Here is a 19,878-nt window from a genome sequence, read left to right as displayed (position 1 = left end):
ATTAATTTCATGGTTAAAATGATTATAAATAGAAATTATAAAATTACAAGGTCAGCAGGTTTGTATATATATATATATTTATTATTATTATTATACTTTAAGTTTTAGGGTATATGTGCACAATGTGCAGGTTAGTTACATATGTATACATGTGCCATGCTGGTGTGCTGCACCCATTAACTCATCATTTAGCATTAGGTATATCTCTTAATGCTATCCCTCCCCCCTCCCCCCACCCCACAACAGTCCCCAGAGTGTGATGTTCCCCTTCCTGTGTCCATGTGTTCTCATTGTTCAATTCCCATCTATGAGTGAGAACATGCGGTGTTTGGTTTTTTGTCCTTGCGATAGTTTACCGAGAATGATGATTTCCAATTTCATCCATGTCCCTACAAAGGACATGAACTCATCATTTTTTATGGCTGCATAGTATTCCATGGTGTATATGTGCCACATTTTCTTAATTCAGTCTATCATTGTTGGTCATTTGGGTTGGTTCCAAGTCTTTGCTATTGTGAATAGTGCCGCAATAAACATACGTGTGCATGTGTCTTTATAGCAGCATGATTTATAGTCCTTTGGGTATATACCCAGTTAAAGCATAAATCATGAAAGTTTCTTTACATAATTACATCTTATACTTCTCCTATAAGATGGCCAAGAATCATTTGATTCGTGATTAACCTTCTGAAAGTTTATACTGAAAGTTCAAAGAAGAGTATATTTAACATTTTTCCTAGGAGCCACACAAAATTATTGATTCATTGTTTTAAAAATTATAAAACTTTAAAATATTTATCTGTGAATTGTAACTGGTTGAATTTTTTTCAACTAATAGAGACAAACATAGATTACTTTTAGATACAGAAAAACAAAGACAATTGTCAGGTGTGATAATGTCATACTTTAGTCATAATTTTTTAAATAAAATGTGCTTAGTATTTAGGAGGAAGTAAGGAGTCAGATTTTCCGAGAACTGTAATGAATCTAGGGTGTTCATTTTGTCCATCTCTTCGTCTACTATTTTTCTCACTATTGACTTTCTTCTTATGCAAAAACAGGGAAAACTTAATTTGGTCTTAAATGCTTCCAAAAGGGATTGCATTACATACAATCGTGAAGAATTCCTTTGATGAAAGATCCTCAATGTTAGGAAATTCTTCCTGTGTTTAATTATTTTTTTTAACTGATTCAGCTCTATATAATTCTCATCCTTTGAAATGGCAATCTTCCCACGTGCCATGAAGTCAGGGCACAGTATTCTCCTTTAAAACACTGTTGTTTCCCCCTTTGAGAGATAATTTATAACTACACACATTTATTCAAAAACTTGCAACCTACTTGCTGAATTAGCCAAACCACCTAGGTCACGTTGCATTGAGTGTGTCTTTCCTCTTCTCCTTGTCTAATGTAGAATCTCAGTATGGACTCAGATCCTGACCCTGAAGATAATAGCAGTCTTGTTGAGTGAGATAATGAGTCTCCTTATTTAGGGCTCCATTTTTAAGTACACTGTGACTAGTAGCTAGCATTTCTTATGACAGCATCAAATCCTTTCCATTGGATGATCTACCTCTATGGAACACTTGCATTTATAGCATCATATTCTTGTAAGTGGGCAGCAAGAAGCTGCCCACAGAAGTTCCTTTCCAAATTCTATTGTTCAACTGAGGCCTAGGTCTGGAAGAACAATTCAATCATCATTATGTACCACCAAAATATGGGACATAAAACTCTAAAAATAAGACATCTGTGAAAGCTATTTTCTTTCATACATATGGTTTGTTTAAGGGTTTGTACTTTTTAAGCTTTATATATTATTCTGGCACTGCTGTGTGCCAGAACAACACATACCCAGCAGCAGTTAATATTTGTAAGCTGGGTTTGTGCAGTTGTGTCTAAATAGCCTTCATTTAGACATTTTGAGGTAAGAATATGTTTAATCATTTCTCATGAAATTAGCATTAATACTTTTTCATTATTAAATATTCTTTTGCTGGATTATACCTTGCCATACCTGGGCAAGAAGTAGAATTTTAATTTACACAAGTAATTTCAAGAAAGTTAGTGGTGTCCCTAAGGTGTGAAATTAATTCAGCACGGATTGTGGTTGAATGGTATATGTTTATAGTCCATACAGTCACTTACAATAATTTAAAATTATTTTTAACATGCTTTTTCTTTTATTATATATGTCAATGTGAAACAAGGATATAACAAAGTGAATTTAATAAGTATGAAAAGAGAGTTGTGCAACATATTAAATAGAAAAATGAACATTTAGAAGTTTTTATCATGAGATTAACTTTACTATGAATTCCTGAAAAGTGTTTACAAATTTACTTTTATTTAGAAACACTATTCATATGAAATTAGAACACAGAATACCTGGAAGAAGTACTCTGAATAAAGTTTGGAAATAATAAGTATTCGATAAATTTATTTCTAATCTTATTTAACTTTTTCAATATAATTCAGCAGAAAACATAATCTTAGGCATTCTTCAATTAATTCAAAATTGAATCAAAAATTTATTTTAAAAATGTAATTAGGGATTGAAATGAGTCAATCTCAGAGCTTTACCTTGGAAATATCTAACCAGATTCTCTGAAAGCATTACTCAACATGTTTAGTAGGGTTACATTAAAATTAAAACAGTAGTAGTGGAGGTAGAGGTAAGGGGAGAATTCATGGTTCAAAAATTTGTGGACACCTGGACTAAACATGGTTATCCTTGTTAACCAGGCCCTCCAAATATAGGACTTCTTTAAACTAGGGCTGGAAGATGGCTGTTGTGTTGGACTGAGTTTCTCACATTTACTGATCTTTGGAATCCCTTTTTCACCTGTCATTTCATGTGGCCAGTGCTCTGAAATTCTCACTTCTTCACTCATCAATCAACTGGACAGAAACCCTAGAAGCTAAATATTTTGAGTGGGTAGGCCAAAAAAAAAGGTGGCAATTAAAGTTTTAGCACTATATGAAAAAGGCAAGATTAGTTTGGTTTCTAGTAGTTGAATTTAACATTGATGCTTTTTTTAATTGTTTTCAAAAGCAGACATGCTGTTGAAGTTTACAAAATAAAATATAATGTGGGAGCTATGAAATGAAATGTCTTTCATATTGAACATAAGAGAACAAATTGCACAGTGATGTAAGTTTCAGGTCTCAGAGATTTAAGTGGATCATTAAAAATTTGAGAGCTTGGCTGGAGACAGAGTCAAAAGCCAGGACATACAGAACTCTGAGAAAAGTCTCTGAAACTACATTGGTTTAATTTGTTGAATAAAATAATATTTTGTACATAATCATGCTATTTAAAAAGACAGACTATTTTACAAATCTCTTCTAAAAAACAAACAATATAAGTCATCATAAATGGAACATGAAGTATTACCTGAAGTGTCCAGCCCAGATCATTGGGAACATATTCAGATATTGAGTTGGGTTTAGTTTGAGGGCTGGGGAAACAGGGAGTCTGCCATGCAGGTCCCATTTAGAATTGTCCCAAAGGATACTTAGAGTAGTCCCCCTTGTCTGCAGGAGATGTATTCCAAGACCCCAGTGGATGCCTGAAACTGTCGATAGTATTATAACAAACCCTATGTATACTCTTTTTATCCTTTACATACATATGTATAATAAAGTTTAACCCACAGATATAGCCTCTTCAGTAATTTTTGTATGTTTGAGTCCAAACCTATTCCTGAATCTGTGAAATGTCCTTTACCTGCAGTAATGGCTTGGGGTCACCAGTTTCAGGAGATCCCTTGCTGAAGTCTTACAGGTTCAATGCTTTCTGGTACAACACATGGTCCTCAGTCAGAACATGTTTTCTGTTCATGTCTTCCACACACAAATTTAATGTCTTTCCCATCTTAACTAAGAGCTTATCACATGCTGTGGCTGTGATTTTTGTAGTTTGAGGTACGACAGCAAAGCCAGCATGAATTTATTTTTTCCTTCACAATTCTATTGATAGGAGTTTTATATTCTTACCATAGATGTTAGCAACTTCATCATACAATATTTTTTTTTTCTTTTTAAGTTGAAAACTTTCCCCATTTTACTTAAAGGAAGCACTTTGCAGATTCTTTTTGGTGTATCCAAGTTGCCAACCTCACTATTTTTGGGCTTTGGGTCCATCATTAAGTAAAATAAGTGTTACTTAAACACAAGCACTGAGATACAGTTGATCTCATAACTGAGAGAACCATTAAGTGACTAATGGGATGGGTGCATCTACAGCATGGATATGCTGGTCAAAGGGAAGAGTCACATCTCAAACAGCATGGTATGAGATTTCATCATGTTATTCAGAGTGGCCCACAATTTTAAGCTTATGAATTGTTTATTCTGGAATTTTCCATTTCATATTTTCAGACCATGGTTGACTGCATGTAACTAAGACTGCAGAAAGTAAAACCTTAGATAAGGGAAGGCTACTCTACCAGTATGGGACTCTTAACACTTTTTCCACGTGGCTCTGGGTGGGGCTGAGGCCTTTTAATTAAAAATTACTCCAAGGATTCATCATTTTAAGAGGAAAAAACACAAAGGATCAAATGAAGTAGTTTATCAATTAGAGTGGAAAGACAAATAGAGCAAAAAGGTATAGAAAGTTTCAAAAGGTATGGCAGAAAATAAGATCAAGGTAAAGATAATTTAAAAGTCAGTCTGAACCAGTCTCTATGTCTGGCTTCCCGGGTCTGAGCTTGTAGTTAGTGTGGGAATCTGAGCTTGACACAGGAAGCTTTCTCATTGTAAACAGCTCAACTGATGTAGTAGAAAGACCCAGCCTTCAAGTTGGACAGACAGTTTGGTTTTAAAGCCTAGTTCAGCAGTTTACTCTATTTGTATTCTGCAACCTATTTAATTTACTTGAGGCTCAGGTTTTCCATTGGTGAAATGGATTTATTGTGGAGATTACAAAATTTTAAGCAAATGTCTAGCCCCACATATGTTTAAATATTTTACGTGGCAACTTTTCCAAGGATGAATTGCTGAAGGAGGTTATGCCATTTTCTTTAAAAGAAAACCCTAAAATATTCTAACTTGAATACAAATTTACTTTTTAGTTTCATCAGGAACTACGCAGATAAATTAACCTCACAGGCATATACAGCTTTAGGAACAAAACTATATGTAAAGTAAGATATTACATGAAATTTTTTTTCTAAACTTTGCATATATTTGTAGAGAGATCACAGTTTATACAGAAGGTATTTTTAATACACGGTATTCTAATAGTAGGCTTAGGAGAAATAAAATCAGTCAAGTATTCTAGAGCAAAAATTGAATCTTAGCAGAATTACTCCTGGATGCCATGAAACAGTCTTTAATTTTTATGTTATCCACAATAATAAATGCATTACAGGCTCTCAAAATATATTGTTCATTCACTTAATAATAATGGCATGTTATTTTGTGTTGCTTACAGAAAGGTGTATTCCACATGAATGTAGCAAAGTAGCTCCTATGTTTATAGATCTTAATTCCCTTTATTTGAGATTACATATAATTTCATCACTCCTGGCATTGTTCTCTTCTGAGGATAAGCAATAGTTGACTCCACTCCAAATGTTTGTGACATTTATACATGACTTTTACTTATACTTTTTGTTTCAATTTTTGCCAGGATGATTGGAGGAACATGGGATAATTGTGAGAAGGTAGGCTGGGATAAGGCCTAACTGTAGATTCTTTTTCATGATTTAATTCTTCTAGGTAAGGTTATTAAAGACTGAAACACTTCACGTCTTCTTTTATATCATGTTTTTACAGACTATTAAAAAATGACCTCAACAAGCACAAATACAAATAAAACAATTCATATTCATTTCCACAGGATTTACTGTAATGCTGTGTTTTTTGTTAATTTTAGCAAGATTCGTTTCAATATGGTTGATGATTACTATGTCATCTGAATAATGTTTAAAAATGGATTTCAAGTTCTGATCTCTCAAATATGTGCTATTATTTCTGGCTACAGGATTTAGAACATAAATAAACCTTACCTATTTGTTTACTATAAAAATTAGGAATGTCTTAGACAAGTATTCAGAAGGTAAAAATGACATTTTAACTAACGTATTTGTGTATTAATTCATACAAGAAATAGCAATTGAATACAGTAGGCCCTCAATATCCATGGGTTATACATGCAGGGATTCAACCAACTATGAATCAAAAATATTTTTAAAAATAATTTGAAGAAAAATAAAAATACAGTCTAGCAACTACTTACATAGTATTTACATTATATTAGGTATTATAAGTAATCTAGAGATGATTTAAAGTATATAGGGAGAATTCCCCACAAACACTGAGGGATGACTATATTTGTTTTAAACAAAGTGCTGTCTTGTGATACCATGTGGGCTATGAAAATGAAAATTCAGCATAACTTCAAAGAGTTTTTAGCAGACTGGGAAAATAAAATATGTATGAAAATAATTATTGTACTGCCAAAACCGGCAAGTACATTAAGAGAGATAAAGATACATACTATTGAAATTTAAAGTAATTCTAATATCTGGGGTGATTTAGAGAAACTTCATAAAGAAGGTACCAGTACAATGAAGTCATTAAAAATATATGAATGTATGGAAACATAATCAAAATAATGGCTTTTTCAGGCAGGGCAGGGAATCTACAAAGAGCAAAGACACAGTGAAGAGAAATCTCAGGAAATGTTTGGGTAATAGAAAGAAGCTTACTTTTATTGAAATAAAGTTTTTTGTGGATATATAGTAAAAGAAAGGTAGAAGGTTAGATTGGAGTTTCACAGATTGCTAAACTTGAACACCAGTTTATTCAGTAGAAAATAGCAAGCCATTAAAGATTGTCAAAGTGGAAAAATATGTAATCAAATCCATGCTCTAAGAATATAATTTTGACATTAGAAATTGAAGTAAAGTGGAGAGACATGGGGTTAGAAACAAGGAGAGCACTTAGGAGAGGGTTCTTGGGAATGGTTCTGTACACTCAAGCTGCTGCTGGCAGAGGCTAAATGCCACAGAAGCTAGAGGGGAAGAATCAGCTAACCTTTGGTTATTGAATAAGTTTACAAAGGTGACCATCAAGTGACTTAGCAGGACTGACCCTGAGAATAACTATGTAATTTTTTTAAATGGCAAATGCAGGGGAAACAGGTTTATGTGAAAGAAATAGGGACGATGACCACTTCAGACATGTTTAACTAAATATGCTATGTGAATGCATCAAGCTTGTAATATACATGAGGCACTTTGGGGTTGATCCTGGGGTTATGGGCATAATGGTGAGCGAGAGGGACTATGGAGGACTTAGCTAACCCATAGACCCCCCTTTTTCATTCTCATTACACACACAGAAATTTTATAACTTTTAAAACATATCACCTAGCTGAGAAAAAAAAAGTCTCAGGTTTCATCAATGAAAATGTGGCAATCATGTAGGTTGATACCACAGAAGCATATGGGGGTATCTATCCCAGAAAGAGTACCTAGTAGTGTAGTAATGGGATTTTAATATCTACATGGGAAAAAATTCAATGTTCTGCTAAGTTATGAATTTGGAACTATGTCTTGGAGTCTGGCATCACCTCTTTGCCAATGCAAAGTCATTGAGATCCATGCCAGCTATTTTTATGGGTTGTGGATTTGTGACACATGAGTATTGTGGAAACCCAAATTAAGAAATTAAGGTAGAAATTTGTTCAATAATTGATAAATTCCACAGGGTAAGGGCAGAAAGCAATCAGATTCTTTCGATAGGATTGTTTAAATAATTCAAGATGCTCATAGAATTCCTACAGAAACTAAAATTGCCATGAAAAGGCACTCACAATAAAAACTATAAAGCACATGAGAAAACAAGCTAACTTAAGGAAAACAAACACAGGAGACAACGAAAAAAACTTTAGCAGAACAGAAGGTAACAGAACAATCTGAAAAAGATTATAAGTTAACCACATGAAATGTTTATAGAGGCAAAGTAAGAACATAAGACTTAAAGTATAATAATAATAAAAAAGATATAACATCTTTGTGGATGAGAAAAATAAAATTCAGAAGATGGATAAACTTGAAACAATTTAGCAGTCTAACAAAGTATAATAAATAGCAAAATCATGTATTTGAAATGAATCTTTAAAAAATTCACAATGCAAGCAAAAAAAAAAAAACCAGATCTTTACAGAAAACAAAATTAGTATTTGACAAAATGAAACATTATCTCTAAATGGGAATATATTCATTAAAATACAAAAGTGAATGAATTAATTGAACAGCAGATTACATGTCGCCAAAGGGAACAACAGATTATGTGCAGCTTAGCCTGCAATTAAGATTTGAGAAAACTGTAAGAGTGAAACCCAGAAAAATAAATTAATAGAAATTGTAAAAGTAAGGTTAGTAGAAAATGCCTAATAGAATTTCCATATGGAGTAAACAGAGAAAATAGATATGAGAAATATGTTTGAAAAGGTAGTACCTTGAGAATTTTCTAGAAATTAGGAAAAGCACTGTTAATATTGAAGAAGTATAGCAGATCCTGAGATAGCTAATAGTAAAATGCAGATAAGATAGAAACAGATAGAACAGTAGAGAAAAAAATAGACTACCATGAAAGAATTAGCTTGACAGTAAAATTCCTATCAGCAATAACTGAGACCAGAGACAGTAAAATAATATATTCAATATGCCAAGATAACTGTCAACATAGAATTTTATACCTAGTCAAACTATTGCTCAAGAATGAAGATGAAATGAAACCATTTGCTGACAAAACAGTCTGCAACATCTACCAGACTCTTGCTGAAAGAACTACTATGTATTCACTTAAGTCAAAAACATTGAACCAGAAATAAGGAATAAGATGAAAAAAATAAATGGAGCAATTGGAGTTTGCAGCTTCAGAAAAGTAGAAATCATTTGGAACGGGTCTGGGTAAAACTTAACCACCAGGCAATCAAAGCTGAATGAAAATATTATGGCATAGTTGTGAGGAAATTCCTGAGATTAGTTAGATACGGTCAGGTCCATGTAATATAACTTTTTACACAAGGGAATCAGTAGAGCAATCCAGGTGATGCAGTATTGCTAATAGTTGAGTGATTTTCAATGTTGGCAGTATAATAGAACTTTAAAAATTATATAAAATAATATCTTGGTGGTTGGATTTCATCCACTAGGTTTCTGGTTTAATTGTTTTGGAACATATCCTAAGCATCAGTGTTTATCTTTTTTAAAGCACCAAGGTGATTCTGTGCAGCCAAGGTTGAGAACCACTGTAATAGATTGTTGGAGAAGAGCAGAAGTCCAGAAGCTGGCTTTGGCCGCTTGTCAAATAAGAGAATTCAGTTCATATTCATGACGGTAGAGGCCTTTTCTCACTCAGGAAAAGCAGCTTGACTTCTTTAGAAAGAGTTGACAACCTTTTTCTGTAAAGTTCCAGACAATAACATTTTAGGTGTTGTGGGTCAGATGATTTCTGTTGCAACTGCTCAACTCTGCTGTAGTGTAAAAGCAGCCATAAATAAGTATGCAAACAGATGGGCATGGCTGTATTCTAATACAATTTTATTATTAAAAGAGTAATAGGCAGGATTTGGTCTCTGGGCCTTAGTGTACCAACCTCTGCTTTAGAATGTTAAAGTATACAGTTAAGGGAACATAGCTGAGAACCATCACATTAGCCTTGGAGAAAGTAGCCGCATGCGTGACTAGATCAAAACAGTGTTCCCTCACAAGATAGGGAAGAGCATATGAACATGAAATGAGACAGTGTGAAGATCTCAGAAACACAGGCATGGAAATGTCCTGGAGGGAAAGTGTGAATAAATAAAAATGCCCACATAAAGAGTTAAGGTTCTGTCAATAAAGTGGTAGCTGTGGCCAAATAATAATTTGAAAATGCAGGAGAGGTTTGTTTTGTTTTGCATTTATGTTTGTTTTTCACATTTAGAAGGAGAACATGTAAATAAATACCTTGGATTTTCTATTTACTCACATCTAGATGTTTTGGGTTCAAAAATCAATGTATTTATATATTAGCATGTTATTGTAATCATTACATTTGTATTAAAACTTTTTCTCCTTTTCCATCCTTAGCCACCTTCTCCAGTGTTATGTTCATTTAAGAACATTTTATTTTCACACATCTTGATTAAATGTACAGATTATCTAAAGCATAAACTTAGATTATAGTGATTGGAATAACGGAGGGATGAGCTTCCTGTCTGGCATAACTTTCCAATTTTACTTGAATTTATCCTCTTTTATCCTTTTCTATCCCTCATAACTGCTTGAATGGCTTATAAAACTATTTAATACTAAAACATGTTTTAATTGACATTTTAACACTTCTATAATTTTTGTAACCTAATTTGGTTACATCTTAGAATCAATAGCTATGTACTGAATCATTGAATATGTATTTTATTTTTCTACTCCAAAGACTGTTAGGAATTTCATAGTGCATCTTCAAATCAATAGCATATTAGAATTAAGGAAATAGGATATTTCTTGTGTTTTTGCCTCTACCTTTTCTCTGGCATCTGCTTCCACTGCCCCCACAGAGTTATATTTCTGGGAAACAAATCTGATCTTGCCACTACCTTACGTAATAATTTTCAGTGCCTCAAAACACTTTTGAGTGATCTCAAAGTCCAGACAACTTGGAATGGCGTTCAAAGGCTTTGCTTTCTAAACCCTTTCATATTGTGACCCCCATATTCGATCTCCAGCCTCATTTCCCACCATCCCTCTCCCTTTTATGCAGCTTGCTTCATTCATTCCTAAATATCATACTCGTTATGCATTATTTCAATACAAGAATTGTAAATGTCTCTGAAGTAAGTTTAATAAAATGGGATTGATGTTGAGCTGGAAATAGCTAAAGCAGGCTTTTCCTAAAGCTTAATTATTTAAGATTGAAATGGATGTTTGTCTTTGCAGGAAATGCTTGACTTTTTAATGTTAGAATGAGTTACAAAAGAAGCTTATAGAATATCTTAATTCTAAGCCTTCTAAACACACTAGACACTCTTCTGTTTGGAATGATTTAGGTAAACCCATGAGAGAGAGAGAAAAAATGAACTCTGAGGCTATGCCCAGTTCCAAGACCTTTGGATGATTAATGGCTGTACCTAAATGAGGCCAAAATATCCAGATGGGAGTAAGAAGAAAAATTCAGTTAGTTTACTACATGATCTCCTTGTATGTTTCCAAAGACCCAGATATTTAACAGTTGAGTGTATGTAATTATTTTAATAAAACCATATATTTCACTGGTATTTTCTGCTTTGAATGTTATATGTTGCTATGGTATGAATAACTTTACCAGATAATCACTTACTATTTATCCCCATCTGTCATCAAAAACACATATCAAATTGTAATTATTATAGAAAGATAAAAATGTGAGCTGATTGAAAATGCTTCAAACTTCATTTGGTTTGGTCCAATGACAAAATAATAATAAAGTAATAGTGCAAAATAAATTTTCTTGATGCAGTTTCAGCTAATTCTTAATTTTTATAAAATGGAAATGGCTTATTTACCATATGCATATTTATAAGGCTGTATTTTTAATTTAGGTATGTGTCTTGTGCTCTGGGCTGTCCATATGAAGGAAGTATTACACCGCAAAAAGTGACAGAAGTAAGCTACATCTTCAGCTTTTTTGGTTTATGGTAACATGATATATATTATTTTTAAAAGGGGGCTTTCTTAATATTTATTGAATCTGCATAGCATGAAGCCATGGATTAAGAGGCGAACCCTGAAGACATATTTGATCACTTAACTAATAGTTTCATTTTAACAGTGAAGTCCTGTACATTGGCTATAACTTTTCAACGTTAAGGGACAGTTGAGTCCTATAATTTGGGTGCTCAAAGGTGGAAGGAATAAAAATATACATTTTGTTTTTTTGTGGCTATAACGTAGTGAGTGGCCTTTCCAATCTCCATCAGAATGTCAGGGCAGTTTTTGGAGAAACACTTAAACTTTCCTTGGTTGCTTAGGCAGCATCCCTGTTTTGCTCCTGCATACTTTGGCCCGTTATATCAGAATATACACTACTTTTGTGTTCTTGTCCTTTTGTGATCCTGGAGATCTTACTGCTGTGATTAAGTTGCTGTTATTCCAGAACAATTTTACAGCAATAGGTTATAGTCATTAAGGCCCTGATTACTGAAGTTTATTTTCTTCCTGTCCTTTATTATTTATTTATACCAATGAATACAAAATGCACTGTCTTTGAGATTATATTAGTTTCAGAAATTTATTTGTATATAAAGTATATTAATGTAGACCTGTTTTTAAGGTTAATTTTGACAAATTTATTAATTTTTGAAAAATTTTGCACCAAAGCAGTGAAGACGGCCTTATAAGAAAATCCAAATTTAGGCAGGATAAAGTTTCAGTTTAGCTAAAGCTGTTCCTCTTTTGTGCTTTCATTTGAACTTTTGGAATCTACTGCAGATTTTTCAAATGAAACATATCCTTTTATCTATTATTTACACAAGACCCTTGCACACAGAGGCACATATACTATAAAATAACACAATTCAGATTTTTTAGGTTTTTCACTTGCATGGGACCCTTCCAAGGCTGTCATTAATTTGCATTCACAATTGTATATATATTTTTTAAGAATACCTCCAAAGGGCATAACTTCAGGCTGGCCCCACAAAACCTGGATCCACCTTTGCTTACCAGCAGACTTGCTTTCTTCCTTTTGCTGTGCACCACGTAGGAATGAACCACACACACCTTGGGTGAGGATCTCCATTTCTGTACCCGAACGCCTAAGGTGCTACTGCAGAGTCATGTAACAGGAATAATTCAGGACCAGAAACTTTAAAGGGGCCTTTTGTGTGATTCTAATACATTTTGTGCTTAACTCACTCTCTTCTCTCTGAAATTACTACTTCAAACTGTGATTACTCTGTTCAGGCCTCTGGTCCTTCCCCTCATTGTCTCCCTCCTCAGTTTTTGCTTTCTCATTACACTGTCCTTTGCATTTAGCTTTTTCCCTACCTGGAATGTTCTTTGCATTTTGTATGTCAGCTGCCTGGAAGCCATTAACATTTGCATCTGATATTCTTCCTAGAACATTCTTCTCAGGTCCTTCCTTCTCACCCTCTTCAACGAGTTAGTAAGCACTTTATAATAAAGCTTACTTTATTTCAAGTTGTCACATAGGTCCTAAGCTTGACAGATCCAGGTCAATTTCCTTTACTACATGCTCTTAGAATCCTGTTTCTTTGTTTGAAAATTCTTATTTTTAGCTGGTATTTATTTATTCCTCAGTAGGGTTGACTAAGATCTATCCTCACTTGACTTCAGGATCTGTAATAACATGAGCCATGTCAATATTCATTTCCCCATTATATCCTGGGACCTAGCACAGCACCTGCCATAAAATAGGTATTGAAGAAATGCATATTAAATGAATGAGCGAATCAGTATCATGTGCCAGATTGTGTGTCAAATGGCTTTTATACATTCTCATTTCACTTTTACAACCAAACACATCATTATTAAAATTGTTTTTATCTTTTTTTTTTAAGAACAGAGTAACCAAGGCTTAGAAAATATGCTAAAAGAAGGTGTTTTGTTGTCTGTATTCTAAAGATTAGGGATTGAGGCTTAAATAGACTAATCTTCTGCCCAGTGTCACATGATTAGGATGCGTGGGAGCTGAGATTTAAATTCAGACCTCTCTGATTCCAGAACCCATGTCTTTGTCAAAATACCATGCTGCCTTTATGCATTCATATTGCTCTTTGAAAGTAACATTATTCAGCTTAAAGAGATCTTGCAATTTACCTCAAAGTATATATATTTATGAGCCAGATAAATTAGACCAGAAATATTAAATGACTCTACCATTTGCAAAGCTACTTAGTGAAAGAGCTGAACTTAATATAGTTGATCCATGAACAATTTGGAGGTTAGGGACACCACACTCCACATGCACAGTCAAAAATCTAGGTATAACTTTTGCTCCCAAAACTTAACTACTAATAGCTTACTGTTGAGTGGGAGCCTTTTAGATAATGTAACCCACCAATTAACACATATTTTGATTTTCGTTATCTTGAAATGGTGGGCAAATGTAGCTGGAGACCTCAATCTATGATGCGTATTGAGCAATTCAGCTTTCTCTCATGTCATGACTTTTTTCTGCTTCTTGGGAGCACTTCCAGCATCACTAGTTGCACTTCCTATGAGTTCATTGGTGTTATTTAAGGTTTATGGTATTTCACTAAATATAATGAAAAACACATAAGAAGTGCAAGAGATCACTTTGTCCTGCGATATGCAATTTACTGGAAAGATGAACTGTTCATACAGAGATGATTAGCATCACCAGGATTTTAAGTGGATACCCTCACTGGAGCTCACTGGAATAGCAACAGGAGGTGGCTACAAAATTATTACAATAGTTCAGTATGTACTATAATTAATTTTATGCAGTTATGATTCAGTACTGAATCATTACATGCACATTTCTCTTGAATGAGAATGGCACTATCTACAGTCTGTGTGCTGAGTTTTGATAAATTTTAACCTTTTAAAATACATTTGTATTATTTTATAGTAAATGAGAAAAATAGATTAGTATTAACACATATTTTATATAGTCATGACATACCTTTTTCTTTTTTGACATTTCTATGCTATGGGATTTGTCTGCAAGTTTTTTCAAATTGTTGAAAATCTCCGAAAAAAAATTTAATATAGTTATTTTTTAAAAAATCACGTACAAGTGGATCCATAGAGTTCAAACTTGTGTAGTTTAAGGGTCAGCTGTATATATATGTAGTGAAATATTTGTAAATTTCACATTTTTAAGGGCAATGAAGATCTCTTATTACTATTTTGACCCCTAAACTAATAGCTTGAGAAATACTACTTCCAAAGTAGATCTGTAATGCTTTGGTTTGATTATAGTGTTGAGAAACATACGCCTCCCATAATTGACATTGTAGCTTATAATTTCATAGTAGAACAAATAGCTGGATAAAAAGATAGGTAGATATGACTCTAAGGCAAACTTGAATATTAGAAAAAGATAATTGCAATAATCTCAAAGTCTTATATAATGTTTAGAATATCATAAGCAAAGAAAAAGGACCAGAAAATACATTATATATTTTTCATGGACATTACTGGTATTAGTTGTAATTTTTACCTTTAGATGATGTTAGTTGTGGCACAAGAGGGTTTGAGTCTCTTCATTTCCATTATTTTACTAGCACTTCACCTTTATCAACAGGTGTCTAAGAGATTGTACGGCATGGGTTGTTATGAGATCTCTCTAGGAGACACAATTGGAGTGGGAACTCCAGGAAGTATGAAAAGAATGTTGGAAAGTGTGATGAAAGAAATCCCACCAGGTGCTCTTGCTGTTCACTGTCATGACACATACGGACAAGCCTTAGCAAATATCCTTACGGCCCTTCAGGTATTTTGTACTCTTTGTGTGTTATGTGTGTGCATAGGGTGTTCATCTTTATCTGTAATATAAACATACTGAAAGCTGTATTGTTACAATTTTCATAAAATGTTATGAATCTAATTTTAACCAGTGTCTGTACATGACAGGCACTTGGGAAATATTTGTCAATTTCACATTTTTTTAGGGCAATGAAGATCTCTTATTACTGTTAGTTTGATTTGATAAAATCTGTAATCTATTCTTTTGAAAAGTATTAATCTTAGCAGAGTTATGTCTGCTTGTTTCTCTCCTCATATTCTATCAACCATAACATTCAGTAGACTGAAATACGATGGCATTTTGAGCAGTGCAAAACACAAAAATAGTAGACTATCATAATCATGAAACAATGCTTTCTTTGGTGATTTCATGCTCTATGATGGGAAGATCTGGTGCTGAAATATAGTATATTTTGCTTAAAATGTTTTCTTGAGGTTGGCAAGCTTACTTTTGACAGAACTTATGTCTTTTAATCACTATATTCCATTATATGATAAAGTGAAGAGATCTAGAAAGTTGGAAGATTATGAATTGCTTATTATACTCTGTGTTATTTTAAATGTATTCATTTGAAAGAATAGCTGTAAGTAGCATTAAACGAGTATTATTTTAAAATTAATGTCAGTTTCTTAAATGCAGCTAAAAATGATTTGTTTGATATTCTCAGAATCCAAGATTTTGACAATCAGAGATAAGACTATATAAAAGCTTTCTGGTTGGAGGCTGAAAACCAATATGTAAACTTAGTATCACAGTCCTAAAGTATACAGTTGCTTGGCAGAAGTTAAAAAACAATGGGAAGATCAAGTTCCACAAGGGCTTATTTTGACTTTGTAACATATGTGTACAAATCCTTATTTATCCTCTGGCAGCAAGAAAAGAACGTTCTATTGAATCACAGAAAAAAGAAAATGTTATTCCATGGTCTTTGGGGCATGGGAATTTTTGCAATTTTCCTTCCCTAGGTATTCTAGTTTCTGAAACAATAGAAAACTAGGCAGCACTTCAGTATCCTGTGTTCAGCTGCAACTGGAAGTTATTTTTCTGAAGGGCTGTTTCTCTCTCTCTCGTTTCTCTGTATGAATATATCTTCTATATTTTAACACTTTGAGTAATCATTTATTTGTGTAGCATATTTATTATAGAATGAATAACAGTTTAGGTCTTCAGGATAAAGGGCTATAGAACAAGATCTGGGACCTGCCCAAACTTCTGCTTCTGGACTATGTCTGCCTCTTGAAAATGCCCAAGTAACAAAACATTGCTAATACCCCAATGCGGTTTTAATGGTTAAGGAAGGCCTATCTGAAGAAGTAATTGTTGCAATCATATCTAAAGAATGAGAAGGGGCCAGGCGCGGTGGCTCACGCCTGTAATCCCAGCACTTTGGGAGGCTGAGGTGGGCGGATCACGACGAGGTCAGGAGATCAAGACCATCCTGGCTAACACGGAGAACCCCCGTCTCTACTAAAAAAATACAAAAAAATTAGCCAGGCGTGGTGGTGGGCGCCTGTAGTCCCAGCTACTTGGGAGGCTGAGGCAGGAGAACGGCGTGAACCTGGGAGGCAGAGCTTGCAGTGAGCCGAGATCGTACCACTGCACTGCAGCCTGGGCGACAGAGCAAGACTCCTTCTCAAAAAAAAAAACAAAAACAAAAACAAAAAAAACAAAAACAGAAGGAACTAATCCTAAAATGGTGTGTATGTGTTGTGGTGTGTGTGTGCACGTGTGTGAAAAGAATGTTTTAAGCTGATGAAACATCGTTTGAGCAAAAGTCCTTGGAGAAGGAGAGGATTATGTCCTAGTAATTAAAAGAAGACTAATGTATTCAGATAAATTAAGGTTTATGAAATTTGCTAAATTGGTTGAATTGCATTGTCTCTATTTTCTGAGAGATTCGGACTGAAATTCTGGGCCATTTTTCCATCTTATAGCAGCCATACAGGGGACAGGAAACAACGTTGGGCCGAAGCAAGATAAGGAACATTAATGAGAACATATGTAAGGACAGGACTCCCCAAAAGACCACACCCCCAGTCAAAGGGTGAATCAGCAAAAGATCCATCCCATAAAGGGAGAGAGCAAGCATATTCATGTCTCATGGTCTCAGCTATGAGTGGAGGAGAAATAGGATGTATCTCTTTATACTACACAACGTTTTGTGGGTTTAGGGTTCAAGTTCACATACCTGCAGAACTGGAAAGACCTAAGCAGATGAGTTATTTTCAAATACTTATGGGTTAGTAGCACTGCAGGTGCCAGAAGAATATTCTTATAAAATATACATTATTAATATATACATATATTGTAATGTATTTTTATATGTTAATATATAATATATAAATATATTTTTTAAGGAACATATCTTCGGCTTACGCTAAACTATTTGAGATCTGTGTGTTTCTGTGCACGTGTGTGTGTGTGAGGGGAGAGATCGATACTGTACCCCTCAGTGGCTCCTGTGATACTAGACTGTCTGTCTAATTGTCAGGATCTGAGGATCTGTGTTTTCTGGTTTTCTACCATGTGCAGAAGCTCTGTTGTGTGCCTGGGACTCTGGGGCAGAAGGGAGGGAAGGGGGCTAGGAAAGCAATAGTATACTCTGTGTTACATTGCCCCAGGGCTTAATTTATAGCCACAGTGTAAATACATGGATAAGAGAGTAAAAGTGGTTTGCATGATAAGCAACATGATATGAGGCCGGAGAAGCTACTATAAATGAGTGACTGAGAAAATGTTCAAAAAGCAGAGATGTAGAGCTTTCTGTCTTTTCCGCCATCAGCTGGCATAGAGTTTGATAAACGCATTGATATCATAAGAAAGACATATACACAACTGCTTTCTTGAAACTGTATGTAACTGATACAGTGTTCAAATGTTTTGAAACTTTTATGTTTATGAAAAACAGCCACATGTGGTACTGGAATGTCACTGCAAACACACGTGGACTGGTCCTGAGTGGCGCTGAGTGAGGTGTTCACCAGTGCTCTCTTCTTACCCCTCTTCCAACAACAACAAAAACACAATAAGCAGGTTTAACTTTAGAGGAGAAGAAGAAAATATATTGAAGAAAACTGTCAGTGTTTGAATAGAAGGAGAATCAGAGAAAATCTAACTTCACTATGAACAGGGCCAACCTTTGCTTCAGGAAGCAGAGGCCATACTTCATTTTTAAAAAATGGAATCTTTGAAGTGGCTTCTAGTAAGATTGGTGGTGGATGTGGACTAGATATCATTTGCTTTAATTTAGGGGTGCAGAAACAGTTTACAGTGCTTCAGACTGGAAGTTAATATTAAGGCAAGGAGACATGTAATAAGTGGAAACTTAGCCACAATGATAGGAAACAAATGAAAGTTATAAATGGAACGTCCCCCTCAGTCTGGAAAGCACACACTAATAGTGTAGTAGAGGGATCTGAGGGATCTTTCTGGGGTTCCTGGGTTTTATTTTTTTTTTATTACTTAAATATATGATTTATGGGACCAGAGATTGTTGTATGGAATTCAAGAATAATTATCATATTATTTAATATAGAGAAATTATTCTGAGCATGTCGATCCCAGTGTGGGATATTTATAATCCCTCAAAACCAAAAGAGCAAGAAAATGAGGTGACAAAACGTACAGCATTTTAGTAACGGAAGAAACGGATGTGGCCCAATAAACTTATCTGAATTTTTAATGTAAAAATTTAGCTTCACCCTTCTGCCAAGTACCTAAGTAAAAGGCCAATTAACAAACTGTTTAATTAATTTCTCAGCCTCTATTTTTCTCCACTGAAATGAGGAAACAAATGAGATCCAATACTGAAATAACAGCTACACATTGATTGGTAGCACAAAGACAAAGAACAGGCAATATTTACATTTCTTCTTCTGAAGTACTATGTGCCCTTTTTTCTCTTAAGCTTAATAAACTTTAATGTGCCTTTTCTCATAATGTTTTTCATATGTTTACTATTCTCTTTTAGAAAGACCAAATTATTTACCTAATTTTTACATCAAAAGCTTTCAGTTTTTAGATTGACTCTTTTTTTATTATACTTTAAGTTTTAGGGTACATGTGCACAACGTGCAGGTTAGTTACATATGTACACATGTGCTATGTTGGTGTGCTGCTTAATAAACCATGTTTAAAAGCTACCAAATAGCAAATCTTTCTTCATATAATTTGTTTTTGAGTTTCTCAAGAAGAAATTTTTTAAATTCCCATTACTAGCCAGATAAACCTCTTTGTTTCTCAGTTCTATATTTGTAAGAATGGATGATGTAATGATGTCTGCTTCCCTGAGTTGTGCAAAACTGAGATGAGATACAGAATTTCTAGAATGATGCCTTGATAACAATACATGTGGTTGGACTGTTGGATTTTCAAGTGTGTATA

General features: G+C 34.3%; 1 protein-coding gene across 9 annotated transcripts in view; it reads left to right on the top strand.

Moving 5' to 3' along the window:
- Positions 1-19,878, top strand: part of HMGCLL1 (3-hydroxy-3-methylglutaryl-CoA lyase like 1) — a 244,547-nt gene that overhangs the window by 168,039 nt on the left and 56,630 nt on the right. For 7 of the 9 annotated variants that reach the window (XM_047418902.1, XM_047418904.1, NM_001287741.2 and 4 more), the window contains 2 exons: positions 11,582-11,645; positions 15,274-15,462. The exons of 1 other annotated variant lie outside the window; for it this stretch is intronic. In XM_047418902.1, coding sequence (XP_047274858.1) covers positions 11,582-11,645; positions 15,274-15,462 — 253 coding nt within the window. The remainder of the gene's footprint in view (positions 1-11,581; positions 11,646-15,273; positions 15,463-19,878) is intronic. One more of the 9 variants, NM_001287753.2, reaches the window with a different exon arrangement.

This window comes from Homo sapiens, chromosome 6 (assembly GCF_000001405.40).
Source record: "Homo sapiens chromosome 6, GRCh38.p14 Primary Assembly".
In the NCBI taxonomy this organism is placed as follows: domain Eukaryota; kingdom Metazoa; phylum Chordata; class Mammalia; order Primates; family Hominidae; genus Homo; species Homo sapiens.
This window is presented reverse-complemented; position numbering and strand designations above follow the sequence as displayed.